The sequence below is a fragment of the Homo sapiens genome, chromosome 7 (assembly GCF_000001405.40).
Source record: "Homo sapiens chromosome 7, GRCh38.p14 Primary Assembly".
Lineage (NCBI taxonomy): Eukaryota > Metazoa > Chordata > Mammalia > Primates > Hominidae > Homo > Homo sapiens.
Window position 1 is genome coordinate 84,494,652 of NC_000007.14, and position 18,030 is coordinate 84,512,681.

Here is an 18,030-nt window from a genome sequence, read left to right on the forward strand (position 1 = left end):
CTCTGGTCATTCCATCTAAAAAAAGGAATAAGAACAAAAAAGCTTCAGAATGCAAAATCATTTTTAAGGGAAATATTAAAAGGTTAGAAAGGAGAATATTAATGTGTGGGAAAAATGGGGATAAGATATGAAGGAAAAGACAGATGGAAGCAAAGAACAGAGATAACAGAACCCAAGAAAAAAATAAATAAACAGATTGTGATTTCAGTGTACCCCAAGGGGCCAATGCAATTTGAAGAGATCTAAATGGTTCATAAATATCATTTGTATATAGCTATGGTATGAGAAGAGGGTCTCTTTAACAATGTCTGGTTATTTTAGAGAGTGTTTGTGTATAAGTGCATGTAATTTCATATCCTAAAGACATTACAATCATGTGTTGATATTCAAGTTTCAGAAATCATACCACCGGATGAGCACAAAATTACCTGTAGAAATATTATATAGGAGAGCAATTTATCATAACTTTCTTTAATTGGATTTAAGTAAATTAGGTTGAAGTTTCTGGCTATCTGAACTCTCTGTTAGGAAATTTAGCATTTTCAGATTTCAAAAATTTTCATTGGAAAAACAAACAAAACTTCTTCATTTTCATGGTTTCACATAATTTGCTATGAAGACTTTCATTGTGAGATTTTTTTTCTGTCTTAGTTGAAAATGAAACATATTGGAAACATCCCAAGAAAAAAATATCCTGGGGAGTTTCCAGTCTAACTTTTATACCAAAGTTTGGATAAGATTTAGAGAAGCATACAGTTTCTTTGTTTTGATTTATATCTAGGTTTTTTTTCCCAACCCATCATACAAGCCTATTCACAAGGGGGTCCTCTTTAACAAATGCTGTCTAATTTATGAACTAATGATTCAATGCTTGCTAGTTTTTCTTTTACCTGTAGGAAGGCAAAAATCAAAATTTCCCCAACACACGTCTAGCTGGCCACATCATTCCTGATTTGGACCTGCCTTCAATTGCATATGTTTATTCCCATTCTATTAACTCACAAATTCCCCTTTAGTTTTACTAATGGAGACTATGGCAGTGGTTGTGGTGTTTGTGAAGTTGTTATTAATAAGATTCTTTTAACAAACTTCAATATGGTCTGTCATTTCCAATTAAATATCAAAGTAGTTTGCTGAAATGATGTACAAATATTTCTCCTTAATAAATATGTTCAACTATTTATGATATGTCATTGAAACAAAAATTTAGGGCTCTTTTAATAATCTGGTTTAAGACTTGATTCTCTTTTAAACATGTGTCTTGCTTTGATCAAGCTTTTGAAGTCCAAATGGTAAATAATTTTAGTTCCAAGTCACTTATTTCTGAAATTAAGGTAATGGAAAAACAGCATGATGATCCCTAGTATCAAACCGGCATTTCTGAAAACAATGTTTCAGCTCCTAAATGTAAACACACTTGATATAAATTCCTTTAAAAAAAGTTGCTGCTGGGTGTGGTGGCTCACACCTGTAATCCCAACACTTTGGGAGGGCAAGGCAGGTGGATCACCTTTGGTCAGGAGTTCGAGACCAGCCTGACCAACATGGAGAAACCCCATCTCTACTAAAGATACAAAATTAGCCGGGCATGGTGGTGCATGCCTGTAATCCCAGCTACTCGAGAGACTGAGTCAGGAGAATCACTTGAACCCAGGAGGCAGAGGTTATGGTGAGCTGAGATCATGCCATTGCACTCTAGCCTGGGCAACAAGAGAGAAACTCCGTCTCAAAAAAAAAAAAAAAAAATCTTTCCATATTTTTATAGTTTTTCACTCCACAGTTTCAATTTTGTGCCTCATTAATCCAAGGATATAAAACATGTGGAGTTCCTTAAAGCACAGGGTTCACTGTCTCTTTTACAGATATATCTTCTTCCCATTGTGGTTTATTGGAGTGAGATTGTATGTAAGGTGAAGATAAAACAGAGTTTTGTGTTTTTGCTGATTCACCAGCTTTAGAAAATGGGACTGAAATGTTACTTTACATTGTTGTTGATTCACCAACTCTAAAATATATCATGCAATGGGCAGAGAAAGTAAAAATTTAGGTACCAGACCATTAATATTATATTAATATTATGATATTACATTAATAGGATAAGCTATCAATAGAAAAAGATTGGATAGGATTGTAGAAAAATATATATTTCTATGAGCAGATCTGATAAAACTGTACAGAGGTTTGCCAGTTGGGTATGAATAATCAAGAATTCAACAAATATTTGGGGTAACTACTTTTATGAGGCTAGGCATGATTTATATAATTTTATGATATGAAAATATTTCCAATATTGGTTCTCTTCTCCTATTAGGTTGGTGCAAGAGTAATCACGGTTTTTGTTATTAAAAAGTAAGAAGTTTTTTACAATCTAATATTAGATCTTAAATATCATCCTAAAAAATAATCTGGCCAAGGTAAAAACATTCTCTCCAAAAATTTTATTACAATAAAAATGCTAGTGATCTAGGAGGAGGATAAAATGCACCAAATTAAATATTTTTAGAACTTATTATTTATTCTCTGTATTAGTTTAGGACATTAGCTAATGGTAGTCTGGTGTAGTATACTTTTCAAAGGACAAGCTGCATCAGGGAATAATTTCTTTGGGGAATATGAATAGTATGGGTTGTCAAAAGTGGTACAGGTGGTGTGATCAAAAAGGCTCCAGGTTGAAGTCCTTAAAACCATAAATCCCCATGAGGTGACCAAGCCAAGGAAAGTTATTATTTAAAAAAGATACATTTGAGTGAGTTCAAAATTAGGCAACTTTTGGGGGTGGGGGACAGAGGGATAGAGGAAAATTTAAAGGAAAGAGGTCTCAAAAAAGTTCTGCCAACTTTACAATTTTGCCTTGGCCAACACTGGGAAATATGTAAGATAATATGTAAAATAACTGGAGACTATTTGTGAGCCAGTTAATCAAAACACTAAAACTCTTGCATAAAAATTATTTTACCATGTTTTCAAGATTTGCTAGACAATTTTTAATTTAGCTATCACTGATACATAACAAGGCCTAATGTCTGACCTCAACATTTTACAAACTATTGGGGATGAAAATATACACATAAAACAAATTAAATAATATTTCATTTCAAGAATGATATATACAGCATATTTAATAAAAAGTCAGAAAATGTGAGTTCAATATGGATTGCATGAATTCATAAGTACTCAAGGACTTTGGTTCAGAAATGATGACAAAAGTTGTCTGTGTCATATAGAAGGTTTAATTTGGGGAATCATGAATAAATGTGGGAAGGGCAAGATTGTGTAGAACAAAGAAACACTGTTAGAAGTTTTCTGGTAAGTGTCTGGCATGATAAATATCATGTTTGGGAAAGATTAATTGGAAGGGATTAGCAAAATGCAAGACTGCTTTTGAGGCTGCTGCAATAACTCAGGCACTGACCTACTTTCCTGATTTGATTGTCACTTTTCCCTCAGCATAAAAGTATCCCTGCAGACTGATACACTCTAGTCCTTGTAGCATTCCATTCTCATTTCTACTCCCATGTTTATGCCACGTGCTTGCAGTTCACTGGAAAGGATAGGATTTAAAAACAGTCTTTGACCCAAATCCTGATTCCACCACTTAATAGTAATTTAACTTCCCTAATCCTATTCAATAAATGGAATTGCAACACCTACTTTTGAAGTTGAGCTGTGATGAGTTCTCTAAACTGGAACTTTATAAAATGAATTAAATAGAAACTTGAGGTAGTTAATTAATGTTTTTATATCTCCAATTTCTAATATGATGACTAGATTCTAGTATAGATGTCCAAAATATCTTTTCAAATGTTTGTGTATCATAATATTTTTCATAGTATTTCTCAAAAATGCAAAAAAAAAAAAAAACTTACCAAGTTTAATTTTGTAGAATTACCAAATGGACTTGGTTAATGATAATGATATTAGAAACAAACAAAAAAAGTCTTATATTCAAGAGAAATTTCAAAGCTAAAAGCAACAATACTTGATAACGAGTTAGAGATGAAGGAGCCTGAGTCAAAATTGATTTCACAAATAACAGAAAATTACAGTGGATTAAACAAGACCACTGTTTATTCAATGTTTCTTTCTTGTTCAAGTAAGAGAAGTCCACCAGTAGCATTCCAAGTCTTGTAGGGCATCATTTCTCAAAACATAAGAGATCCACCATCTTCTTACTTTCTGCCCTGGCATTTCCATCTAATGGATGTAATTTTCAAGGTAAGAAAAAAAAATAGCTGCTGGAATTCTGGTCATTGCTTTTGTGGTGAACAAAAGTTTGGTAGAGAGGATAAAAACAAGCCCATACCAGGTGTTAAAGGGCCAATCCAAAATGCTCCACATGTAAACTTTTGTTTATATAATGTTGGCTTCACTAGCGGTAAGGAAGGTTGATAATGTAGTTGTGTTAACTACCTGAAATATAAATCAGAAATATATTACTGAGAAGTACAGCTAAATACTTTAGAGAGGAAACTAAAAGTCTCTCCTTTACCAATTAAAATGAAGATCAGTATTTGGGGGAAGTAGAAATATTTGGAGGAGGAACTATTTTAAGTTGGAATTTATTGACTTTAAATATGAGTGGATCCTGTAATCCTAGCATTTTGGGAGGCCAAGGAGGGCAGATCATTTGAGCCCAGCAGTTCGAGATCAGCCTGGGCAACATGGTGAAACCCCATTTCTCCAAAAAAAATACAAAAATTGGTTGGGCATGGTGGCATGTGGCTATAGCCCCAACTACTCCAGGGAGCTGAGGCAGGAGGATCACTTGAGTCCCAGAGGCAGAGGTTGCAGTGAGCTGAGATGACTATTGATTGTGTCTTTTGATGCACAAATGTTTTAAATTTTGATGTAGTCCAGTTTACCTCTTTTTTTCTTTTGTTGCCTATGCTTTGGGTGTCATAGCCAAAAAATCATTGCCAGATCCAATAATATGAGGATTTTCCTCTGTTTTCTTCCAAGAGTTTTATTGTAGCTCTTAGATTTGTGTTTTAATCCCTTTTTTATTAATTTTGGTATATGGCATAAGGTAATAGTTCAAATCATTCTTTTGAATGTGGATATACAGTTTTACCAACACCATTTGTAGAAAAAACAGCCTTTTCCTCATTGAATGGTCTTGTCAACCTTGTTAAAAATCACTTCACCACATATGTGAGGGTTTATTTTTGGGCTCTGTATTCTGCTCCATTGGTGTGTATGTCCATTTTTAAGCCACCATATAGTCTTCTGATTACAGTAGCTTTGCAGTAAGTTTTAAAATCAGAAAGTGTGAGACTTTTAACTTTGTGTTTTGTGATTTTTTTTTCAAGATTGTTTTGCTAATTTGTGGTTTTTTGAGACTGCATATAAATTTTTGGAAAGATTTTTCTATCTTTGCAAAATCATAATTGAAATTTTGACAGAGATTACACTGAATCTATAGATCACATTGGGTAATATTGAACTCAACAATATGAAGTCTTCCAGCCCATAAACATGGGATATCTTTTTATTTTTTATGTGACTTTAGTATCTTTCAGCAACTTTTTAAAGTTTGCAGTGTGCACACATTTTGCCTCCTGGGTTAGATTTATTCCTAAGTATTTTACTCTTTTTGATACTGTTTGTAATATTATGCTTTCACATTGCTGATAAAGACATACCTGAGACTGGGTAATTTATCAAGAAAATGAGGTTTAATGGATTCACAGTTCCACGTGGCTGGAGAGGCCTCACAATCATGATGAAACGTGAAAGGGACATCTTACATGGCAGCAGGCAAGAGAGAATGAGAACCAAGAGAAGGGGGTTTCCCCTTATAAAACCTTCTGATCTCACGAGACATATTCACTACCATGAGAATGGTAGGGAGGAAACCGCCCCCATGATTCAATTATTTCCCACTGGGTCCCTCCCAAAACACATGGGAATTATGAGAGCTAAAATTCAAGATGAGATTTGGGTGGATACAAAGCTGAACCATATCACTGTTGTAAATTAAATTGAAAAACTGTTTAGTATTTCTAAGAGTAATTATTACAGAAGGTTTGAAGTATCTGATATTCTCTGTTCTCCCAAGCTTGATACCCCTTCTATCTCTCCATAAATTTGGTTTTTATAATTTTAAAAGGTAATAGTATTAATTTGCATTAATAGTATTTCCTGGGTTTTAAAGTTTACTTTTTAAAACCCAACATTACAGACAGATTTATTCATGTTAATATAAATAGAGTTAATTATTTTAACAATGGTAACAAAGTTTATCATGTGACTCATACAATATTTTTAGTCAGTAAAGAGTTTTAATCTATCTTCTTTTGGTTGTTTTTGCTTTATTTATTTATTTACATTTATTTTTTTCTAGATTCAGGGATTACATGCACAGGTTTGTTACATGGCTGTTTTTTGTATAATATTTCTTTCTTGATAAATTTTGTAAACACTATTTACTTTTTTAAATCAACACAAATTATATATATTTATTATATACAACATGATGTTTTGAAATATGTACACATCATAAAATGGCTAAATTAAGCTAATTAACACATGCATTATTTCATACACTTATCTTTTTTTGTAATGAGAACACTTAAAATCTCTGTTATCAATTTTAAAGACAATACATTGTTATTAGCTATAGTCACCATGTTGTAAAACAGATCTCTTGAACTTATTCCTCCTAACTTAAATTTGTATCCTTTGCTCAACATCTCTTCAACCTCACTCCACCCCACCCCTAGCACTTGTTAACCATCATTTTATTCTGTACTTTTATAAGGTCAACTCTTTAGATTTTACATATAAGTGAGATCATGGTATATTTGTGTTTCTGTGCCTGGCTTCTTACATTTAGCATAATGTCCTCCAGGATTATCCATAGTTTTGTAAAATGACAGCATTTCCTTCTTTTTTGAAGCCAAATAGTGTTCCATTATGTATACATATCATGTTTTTTTGTTCATTCATTAATGAACACATAGATTTATTTTATATCTTAGCTATTTTTAGTAATATTGTAATAAACCTGGGAGTGTAGATATCTCTTCAACACACTGCTTTTATTTCCTTTAAATATATATCTAGTGGTGGGATTACTGGAATATGGTAGTTCTATTTTTGTTTTTTAAAGAAACTTTCACAGTTTACCTAATAATTATGCTAATTTATACTTCCCCTATAGTGTGCAATGATTTTCTTTTCTCCACATCCTCACCAGCATTATTTATCTTTCACCTTGTTAATAACAGTCATTGTAGCAGATGTGAAGTAATATCTCATTGTGGTTTTAATTTGCATTTCTCTGATGATTAGTGATTTTGAACATTTTTTCATATACCTGTTGACCATTTTTATGTCTTCTTTTGAGAAATACAAGACATTTGGGTCCTTTGCCCATTCTTTTAAATGGGTTGTCTCCTTTCAAACTATAAACTATTGAGTTGTTTGAGTTTCTTATATGTTTTGGATATTAACACCTTAACAGATATGTTAAGAAAATGCAAACATTTTCTTTCATTCTACGGGTTGTCTCTTAGTTAATTGTTTACTGAGCAGAAGCATTTCTGTTTGATAAAATCTCAGAACTCAGAATGTAAATTTATTTGGAAATAGGGTTTTTGCAGATACAATTTAGTTAAGGACTGTGAAAAGAGATTATTCTCTATTTAGGATTTCCTCTAGATTTAATGACTGGTATTCTTACAGGAGAAAAAGCTGCAGAGACACACAGAGGAATGTGCCATGTGATGATGAAGGCAAAGATTGCTCTATGTGCCAAGGAACAGGCAGTATTCCTGGCAACAACCAGAAATGAAGAATTATGGAACAGATTCTCGCTCAGAGCCTCCAGAAGTAACCAACTCTGCCAACTCCTTAATTTTGGACTTCTGGTCTCCAGAATTGTGAGAGAATAAATTTTTGTTGTTTTTAGTGATGAAGTTTGCTGTAATTTGTTATGCCAGCCCTAGGAAACTAATGCATTACTTTACAAGTGTTAATTCATTTATCTCTCATAATAGCTGTATGAATTAGTTCCTACTCTTATCCAATTTTATAAATGAGGAAATAAAGCTACAATATACTAAATAATTTACCAAAAGTTACACAGCTGGGAAGTGGTGGAGACAGATGGTAATATACAAATTACTAGAAACATGCCACATTACCTCTTAATGTGGGCTAATTTAGTAATTATGAGCATTCAAATGCATATAGCTAGCTTGACTTGCTAGCATTGACCATCAGAATGATTACTAAATCTTTACTTTCTACCTTGTACGTGTTAGAAAAGGATGGTTAACTGTATTTCCATACGTCAAGAATATTTCTATAAGTTTCTATATAAAAACATTTTCTACCACCAAGATTTAAAACTTGTCACCATGATTTAGTAGAAGTTTACCATAGCACATTTTGATTATACTTATTTGGACATTGCTTTTTAAAGAGCACTAAAGGAATCTGAAAAACTAAAGCAAATGTTAAAAATCCTTTAGGCAGGAAGTATCAGAGGAGTGAAAGCTGGTTTTCATTGTTCAAATAATCATTCTACAATACTTCAGCATTTCACAGTGGCATGTTACATGTGTCATTTTATTTATGTGATGGGAAAGTACAAGGAAGTACAACTTATTTAGTAAATTCAGATTTTGGTAGAGCAATAATCAAGAATAAAATCTTATTATAATATGTCCAATCATAAATTAGCAAATTTTTCTAACTCATTTAAACACAGCTAACTCTTCCTATCTTTCTAACCAATCTAAACTCATCTAAGTTTTCTCGAATCTTTATTTTAGCAATACTATGTTTATATTTTAAAAAAAGAATCACATGTCGATACTTTAGCCATATAAGTATGAGGTTTTTTTCTTTGTGGTTTTTTTTTTTTTTTTTCATGAAGTCTCGCTTTGTCGCCTATGCTGGAATGCAGTGGCATGATCTTGGCTCACTGCAACCTCTGCCTCCCAGATTCAAGCAATTCTCCTGCCTCAGCCTCCCCAGTAGCTGGGATTATAGGTGTGCACCACCACTCCCGGCTAATTTTTGTATTTTTAGTAGAGACTGGGTTTCACCATGTTGGTCAGGCTGGTCTCGAACTCCTGACCTCGTGATCCGCCCTCTTCAGCCTCCCAAAGTCCTAAGATTATAGGCACGAGCCACCGTGCCCAGCCTCCTTTTATTATCTTTTAAATTTTCTCTTTTTTAATTATATTTTTCTTTTAAATTTTCGATTGCATAAGTTCTTTCTTGATAATTAGAGTTTTTACAATCTTTTAGACTTTTAAACATTGACTATTTAATATGTGTTAAATATAATTAGGGTTTATGGAATTGTAAAATTTATTTTGTACCTTGTCGTTGCTTAATGAAGGAAAGTAATTTCATCCAAAAAGGAATTCTTTAAATTTAGAAATAACCTCATGTAATTTTATACATCCTTCTACTTCCCCTCATTAATTAATCTTTAATCACTATCAAAAATTGCCTATTATGCCCCGAAAGCACAGCGCTCCTAGCATTTCTGTAAGTTTTTCTTATTCTCTCTCATTTTTCATTTCCCTGTACACATTTGTAATACAGGAAAATGAAGTTAGAAATGTATATATCTATGTGCCTATGCTGACAAACAAATAATTCTTCAACAGTTTTTCATTGAGAATCTACTATATACATGGCATTATACTAGATGCAGTGGGTAAATATTACATTATTAATATTGTTTAGATTAGACAAACTGCAGTTAAATTATTAGTAAAAGTCTTAAAATATTGCCCTTTGGCTTTTTGAAATTACAAAAACATGTTAGGTAATGTTTTTAAAGGTTCTTTTGTATTCTCTTATAGTGGCGTTGATTATCAATGATGCCAAGAGCAATCTCCTTTTTAAATTTCTTTTATCAGTCAGTAAAGCCCATCTACAAATATAAATTGTGGTCAAAACTACTCTACATGAGAATGCTTCAAACTACTAGTGACTTGTGGATTGGTAAAGATAAGCAAATTGATAAAATAATAATGATAATAATCCTGCTAATAAAAGCATATCTAAGTTGCCAGCAAATGTTGTTTTAAATTATGTTAGTGAGTATGGAGACACTGTGTTGGTAACCGTGCTTGCTCATCAGAATACCTGTGTGAACTGAGCTTTAAGCACTGGAGATAAAATGTTAACAAGGAGAAGGCCCTGAATACCACATTGAGCATTTTATTTTATTTTGAGTGTCAGTTGAAAGGCACTTATGGATCCTCAGAATGGGAATCATGAAACATTATATTTGACAAAATATTTCCCTCTGAGAGCTTCACAAGAGTTTGGAGACAAGAATGCCATCATTTGAAAAAAAAATTTTTTTTCAGTAGTTTGACTACAGGTAGTGATGACTTAAACTGAGGCTCTAACTGTAATAACAGAGCAAAGAATAATTCCAGAAAACAGCATGATGAGCTGCATTTGGTAATTACTCAAACACAGGAGAAAGAGAATAACAGATACAAATGAGACTTGAAAACAAATACAGAGTATTCTGTGACAAAACAAGAGTGATCAACTATCTTTCTAATCACAATGTTTACGAAAGGCCACATTGCAAAGTTGACTACACAAACCAAGAATATAATTCTCCATATACAAAAGATATTTAATTTCTAAACAGCATGATCCACTGTTCTGCATATTTTTAGTGTGGCAGAAGACAAAGTGCTTTTCCTGAAAATTTTAAGTAAACTCTTTTTTTTTTTTTTCTGCTCTGTTATTTTATGCCAACAATAGTCAGTAGATTGAATGGCCATCCATACCCAGAGAAATGTTACTGATGAATTAGTGTCAGCCCGGGGAGACATAACGAGTGATGTTTTGAAGGGGTCACCTTTACATTGAGGGCTGCTTAAGTGTTTCTTCAATGACCTGGAAAATGAAATAGAGAATAGGCTCATCAAATTTGTAGATGAGTTCAATCTCCTGAAGAGAATAAGGACAGAACGACTCATGGAAGATGGATTCAGTATTCAAAATGAACTTGGCAAATTGGAAAGGCAGTGAGAGATGAACTGAACGAAGTTCAAAGAGGTCAGATTCAAGTTAGTGCAACACAGACAAACATCCAATGTCAAAAGATACACAACAATATATTTGTTCTAATGGGGGTAAGGTGATTTAGAATAGTGTTTGAAATATTCTCTTTATTGATGCCATGCCAAAAAAAGAGTGGGGAATGGTACCTGTAATGGCAGCCTGGCACAGAAAAAACAAATTCACCACATTCTAAAACTTCCTTTGGAAATTACCTAGGGGCTCAAATCCTCACAAAGATTTTCTATGTAACAGTTCAGCAATAGATATTTACTAGATGGATTTATCTGTGTTGTTTTTGTTGTTTTAATGCTACATCACAAACATTTGCTACATACATTTGTTATGTAGCATTAAAACTATATTTAATGTAGCTAATAAGTATAAATAAGTATAGTTCAAAAAATTAGGATCAAGTACTTAAAGAATAACTTATGCTCGTAAAAAAATATTTTGTGTATTTTGAATATTTTTCTTAATCACATTGTTTACAATATTAAGTCATTCAACAACCAGTCAAGAAATAATAGTTAAGTAATAACCATGTGTGGTACTCAGTTAAGTACTGGTATGCGGCTGTGGAATAAGCAATAGAATCTCTGACCTCAGTGAGCCCATATCTAGGGCAGGAGTCAGCAAACTGTAAAAGGCCAGATAGTAAATACCTTAGACTTTTGTTGGCCATATGGTATCTGTTGCAATGAGTCAACTCTGCTGTTGTAGCACAAAACCAGCCACATACAATACACAAATAAAGAGGTATGGCTGTGTTCCCATAGACATTTCTTTATAAAAAATAGGCAGTAGGGCAAATTTGGCCCATGGGTCTTAGTTTGCCAACCCCTGTTCCAGGGGATAAGATAGGCATTAAACAAGCAAAAATTTGATATAAACACAAATAGAGTGTCATGTGATAAAATACTGAGAGATGGTCAAGAAGACTATTTTAGAGTGTGTGGTTTGGAAAGGTTTTACTGAGGAAGTGACATTTCAGATGAGACATGAAGAATGTTCATGGTTTGTCAATCCACACTGCGACAAAGGCTCTGGAGCAGAATGACATTTGTGCAGGTGATGCCCTAAAAAAGGCCAGGCAGCAACAGATACAGGGCCTGTTCTAAGTAAGGGGAATGAGATGGTAAAAAAGAAAAGGTAGCTACCATCCAGACAGAGTATTATGTTCCAATGGAATGAGGCAGTTTAAAAAATAACTGTACACACATAAATGAGGCAGAGAATTTCAGATCATGAAAAGTGCTGCAGAGAAGATGAAGCAAGTTCATATGATAGTATGATTTGGTAGCAAGGGATGTATGAGCATGACACATTTGACCTGAAAATAAAGAAGAATACAGCTTTGAAAACACCTGAATGGAGGGAGTTCCAGCCTGAGGAAACAGTAATGACAAGGCTCAAAGATGAAAGTAAGCTTAGTATGATATAGGGTCAGAAAAAAGGCTGAGGTGGACACAGCATCTTTTGGAAGTGGTAACATTTACTGTGATGTATAAGATTGAGGGAGGAGCAGAACTAGAAAGAAATATCATAAATTCTGTTTTGGTTTTGTCAAGTTTTCATGGCTTCATAGCATCTAAACCAAGATCTTCAATATGCAGTTGGATACATGAGCCCAGGGCCCAGAGCAAGAAAACGGCTAGGGCTGGAAGTATAAATTTGGGAAGATGTCAATGTCTTTGGGTGTAGTGAGTTATGAAGACTCTGGCATAAGAAATTAGAAAGGTAAGCAGAGTCATATCATGTAGGGCCTTGCATGCCATATGTTAACCAGGTTATATTTTCTTCCAAAAGTACTGAGAAGAAATTGCATGACTTTTAAACAGGGGAGTGACGTGATTCAGTTTAAAAGAGGTTATCGTTATTGTGGATCCCTTATTTGTGAATTTGTCTACTCATACCCAGAAAAATCTATACTCGCAGCATTTGTATGGTCACTCACCAACATACACAGGTAGCAAAAATTTGAGTCTCCAGATGCCCATGTGCCCAGCTGAGGCTGAACAAGGTGATGTTCTGCTTTCTTGTTTCAGTTCTCATACTATGTAAGTTTTCTTTTTGTGGTCTATTTAGCGCCACATTTCCCTCATGCTTATGCTTTTTGTTGCTGATTTTGTGATTTAAAATGGTCTCCAGCCATAGCGCTGACATGCTGTCTAGTGTTCCTAAGTGCAAGATGTCTGTGATGTGCCTTAAGGGACAGATACCTGTGTTAGATGAGCTTTATACAACCATGAATTATGGTGCTGTTGGTCCTGAGGTTCAAAGTTAATGAATCAATGCTATATATTAAATAAAGTGTCTTTAACAGAAACACACTTAAAACAAGATTATGTATTAACTGGTTGATAAAAATTTTGCAGCCAGAAAATTTGCAGGAACCTAACCTTGTGTTTCCCCAAGGAGCAATGATTCCATATTCGCTAATTCAGTGTTTGCAGTAATGTTTGCAGCAACTTCCTAAAACATAACTACCTTTAATAAAGAGGATTGACTGAATATCTCAAAAAGACTACGCTGAATTACATGGGTTATTTTATCTGTCATTAAGTAAAATGTAAAGTGCAGTTTTACTTGGCTTTTCCTGCCCTGGCCTTGAAATCAACAAATACAATTATATAAATGTGTGAAACTAAAGCCAAGGGCTTAGCACAGTGAATGATGAATACTCTTTCCTCCAGTGTTAGCTGCTGCTGCTGCTGCTGTTTCCAATGCCCTATACAGGGATGCCCTATTTCTACCCTGAGATAGCATTCCTGAGGGACAAAGTGGCAACCCCAGCAGATTAACCAAGATATGTTCCCTAAAGGGAACCATGACAGTCTCTGCTCATGCCTGTTGTTTCAGCCAGTATCCCACTCTGTTGGTGGTCCCTTTTTTGGTACAAAAAAATTATTTGCTCACGCTATGCAGAGATGTTTCAAATATAAAAATATGAAATATGGATTTAGTGGTGGAGCAGCTGCCATTTAGCCTGAGAATCAGTTAGACAAGGGGCTAGGGACTGGGGAGTGTTCTAGGCCAGTGTGTTCTAATCAGGAACAGAATAGGAGGTGGCTGTCTTAGGGTCAAAGAGAGATGTTGGAGCTAAAAGCCGCAAGAGCAGGAAGTTTTCAGAGAAGGATTTTGGCAGCGATGGAGCAGAAAATATGTTTACAACAGCACCATGGGGAAAACGAAGTAACAGGAATGCTGTAGAAAGTTGAATTTGGAGAGAGTTATCAAATCACAAAATGTAAAAAGCAAATTTTTAAAAATGTGAAAAAAAACATAGTCATAGATATATAATGAAAACAGAAAGGATTACATAAATGTAAACATAAAATGTTGATTTTATTCTTGACTTTATTTCTTCAATTCTCTTTTTTTCCTGCCATTCTCTAGTTTTCCCCTTCATGACCTAAATTTTATTTCAGAAACCCATTGTTTAATACCTAAGTTCACAGTGATCTCTTCTATTCTCCTTGCATCACACATCTAGTCCCTTTGCTCACCTAAGTTCTTCCTCCTCAATGTCTTATTTTTCCCCAATCCCTCCTGCTCACACTCTTGCCTGAACTATGTCAGCCACCCTCAATTCTTTGCCTCATCGCTGATACCTCTAAAGTCATGACCTATAGACATTTTTTAAAAAGTAAATTAAAGATTTTCTAAAAATTTGTTTGTTTTAGTTTTCTCTTTCATCTTTATATCTATCTGTTGAATATTGTGCTAATCTCTTTTTCATTCTGTAATCCTATTTTCACTCAGTCAACTCTTATTCTCTGTCTCATCTATGTTAGTTTTCTTTTTCTTTCCTTTTTCTTTGTTTCAATTGGTCAAATAAAGTATAATTTTAATGTTTCTTCTTTTTTCTTATGTTCCAAATTTTAAGTGAATTGTTTATTTTCTTTAAAAAATAAAGTTTACTATAATATTATTCTTTACTAAGAAGTCTTGCCGTGTGTGTGTTCTGATTCCTGTCCAACTCTCCTGCTGCATCTAAAGCCACTATTTACTAACCTGTACCCAATCCAGAGCCTTGTTTCAGTTTCTCCCTAGAGCAAGCTCTTGCTAATTTCAAGGGTTGTCAATTCACAATTTCCTCCTCTTTGGATAGCTTTTCCTAGTCTTCATTACTCCTAGCAGTTTCTTAGTTTAAATGTCACTTCCTCAAATAGGTCTGCCCTGACCAGACCAATCAATAGATATTCACTGAATACTGTGATCATTAATATTGAGTGTCAACCTGATTGGATACAAAATATTGTTCTTATGTGTGTCTGTGAGGGTGTTGCCAAAGAAGATTAACACTTGAATCAGTGGACTGGGAGAGGCAGACCCACTCTCAATCTGGGCGGGCACCATCCAATCAGTTGCCAGCACAGCTAGGATAAAATCAGGCAGAGGAAAGTGGATGGGCTAGACTGGCCTGAGTCTTCTGCATTCATCTTTCTCCCATGCTGGTGGATGCTTCCTGCCTTTGGACATCAAACTCCAAGTTTTTCAGATTTTGGACTCTTGCACTTATACCATTGGTTTGCCAGGGGCCCTCAGACCTTCAACCACATACTGAAGGCTGGACTGTCGGCTTCCCTGCTTTTGAGATTTTGGGACTCAGACTGGCTTCCTTGTTTTTCAGCTTGCAGACAGCCTACTGTGAGATTTCACCTTGTGATTGTGTGAGTCAATACTCTTTACTAAACTCCCCTTTATATATACACCTATACTATTAGTTACGTCCCTCTAGAGAACCCTGGCTAATACAATTACTAACTACACAGCAGAATTTGTCCTAGACAATGGGAATACAGCAGTGAGTAAAACAGACAAAAACCTCTGCCCTCATGGAGTTTAAAAGGTAGTGGGAAGACAGACAAGAAAGCAAGAAGTAAAATCCTGTTATGACAGATGGTCTGAGTCACAGGAAAAATGAAGAAGGAAAGGGAATGAGAAAGACCGGTGTGTTTGGGGGTTGTATGTTTCAAAATGTTCTTCAGGGAAGGCCTCTGTGAAAAATTAGTTCTTTGCTAAACACTCAAGAATGTGAAGGCTTGTACCACATGGAAATATGCATAAGAGTATGGCAGGCTGAAGAAATGTGAAGTCCAAAGGGACTGAGGAGGAAAAAGCTAGGAAATGCAAATAGCTGGAGCCTGCTGAGCAAGGGCAAGTGCAGCAGAAGATGAGGCCAGGCAGGCAACTGGGCACCAGGCTGGGATGACCTTAGGCTCTAACACTGATTGAGATGAGAAGCCATGGACAGATTAAGCAGAGTGACACGTTCTGTATTACACTTGACCCACATTACTCTGGCAGCTGGGTTGAGACTCTATTGAGGCAGAGTAAAAGTAGTCTAAAGGAGCACTTTTCACCCCCCATAAAGTGCATTATTATGTATTCAATTTTATATTCATTTATTTAGCATCATGTCTCTCATCCGTTGAAATATATGCACCATGAGGACCAGAACAAAGTTTTGTTGACAATATCTCTTTTCCCAACAGGTGATGAGTCTGAGTTTTTGGACACATAGTAGGTACTGAATAAATAATTGCTGTTGAAAACATTAAACAATCCTATGATGCATGATTTCCACCTTAGAAATGGGGAAACGGCGTTTCTGGGAAGTTAGATTGCCCAGGAAAGTGGGATAATGGGAATTGAATTTTTTTTTTCAATTCCAAAGTCAAATGTTTTAAATAAATGCAATACTCTGATAATATTTTATATATTTTTCTATAAATATTGTAATCAATACTTGAGTTATAAATTAATGGAACACATTAAAATTCACGTAACTTTTTGTTTGCCACATTTCAACTAGAAAGATTCACACTTCTTATTATAATTTAACATTGCATTTCCCAATATTATTCATGGAGTGTTAGTCCATTATATGAACTACATATATAAAGAAGACAAGGGAAAAAAAAAAAGCAATCTTCCCTCTTCCTTCCACAATGATGGAATACATTTCAAAAACAACTGTGGTTTTTGTTTATGGCAGCATGAAGATCTCTAGGGATTTGAATCTTTACAGTATATCTTGGACTCAGCGAAGGTAGAATAGAATCACATTTCCAGGAGGTTACCTAATATCATAAAAGGCTTTTGCTAAATCTCAAGTGATCTGCAGTAACATTTTACTGCTCCGTTGCTATAGCTTTCCACATGTAAGTGTATATAAGCTGTCTGAGAGTCTTCAAAAGTGAACTTCGATGGACAATCCATCATTAGTATATCTTTCCCATTAAAAGAAAAAAAATGGTGAATGTATTTCACCAATGATGCTCAAAATTCTGAGATTTTTTTTTCTATCTTAAAAAAATGTCATTCCAAACTAGGCTAAATTAATCTGTTTTTTAAAAGTAATTTTTAAACACAAAATCTTTCAATAATACATTTATCTGTCTAAAGCGAAACATCAGTTGAGCAGTCTTTTAAATGGAAAAATGGGAAGATGTGATAACATGAATTCCAGGAAATTTACTTTTTGAATCTTGAACCTCATAAAAATGATACAGTCTTATCTGGAATATTCATGTGTTCCTATGTTTCAAACATGTGCTTTGAAGGAGGAAAATAGTAGGAATGGTGGAAAGAAATGCTTTCTACTAACATCAAAGATTTCTTCTTCAGAGTCTTGAAACTACCACAAATACAAGCTAACCTCAAACTAAGAAATTAACCTATATGATACAGTCTGCCTTGTGAGCAAGGCACACAAGATTTTATTATGATGTTTCTTTAATTTAGAACATTGGTTACCAGTCAGATACAAGTTTCAGGGGAATAATATGCAGTAAGAATTGTTTATAATTTCTCTTCTTTATCTTCTGCTCAAGAACATATTAGAAGCTGTAAATAAGACCCTGATAATGCAAATTTCATTTTAGCAAACCTTATTTTCCCCCGTAACACAATGAAGCTCTGTAATATACCAGCTAGTCAATTTTGGCAATTCAACTAACTATAAATTGA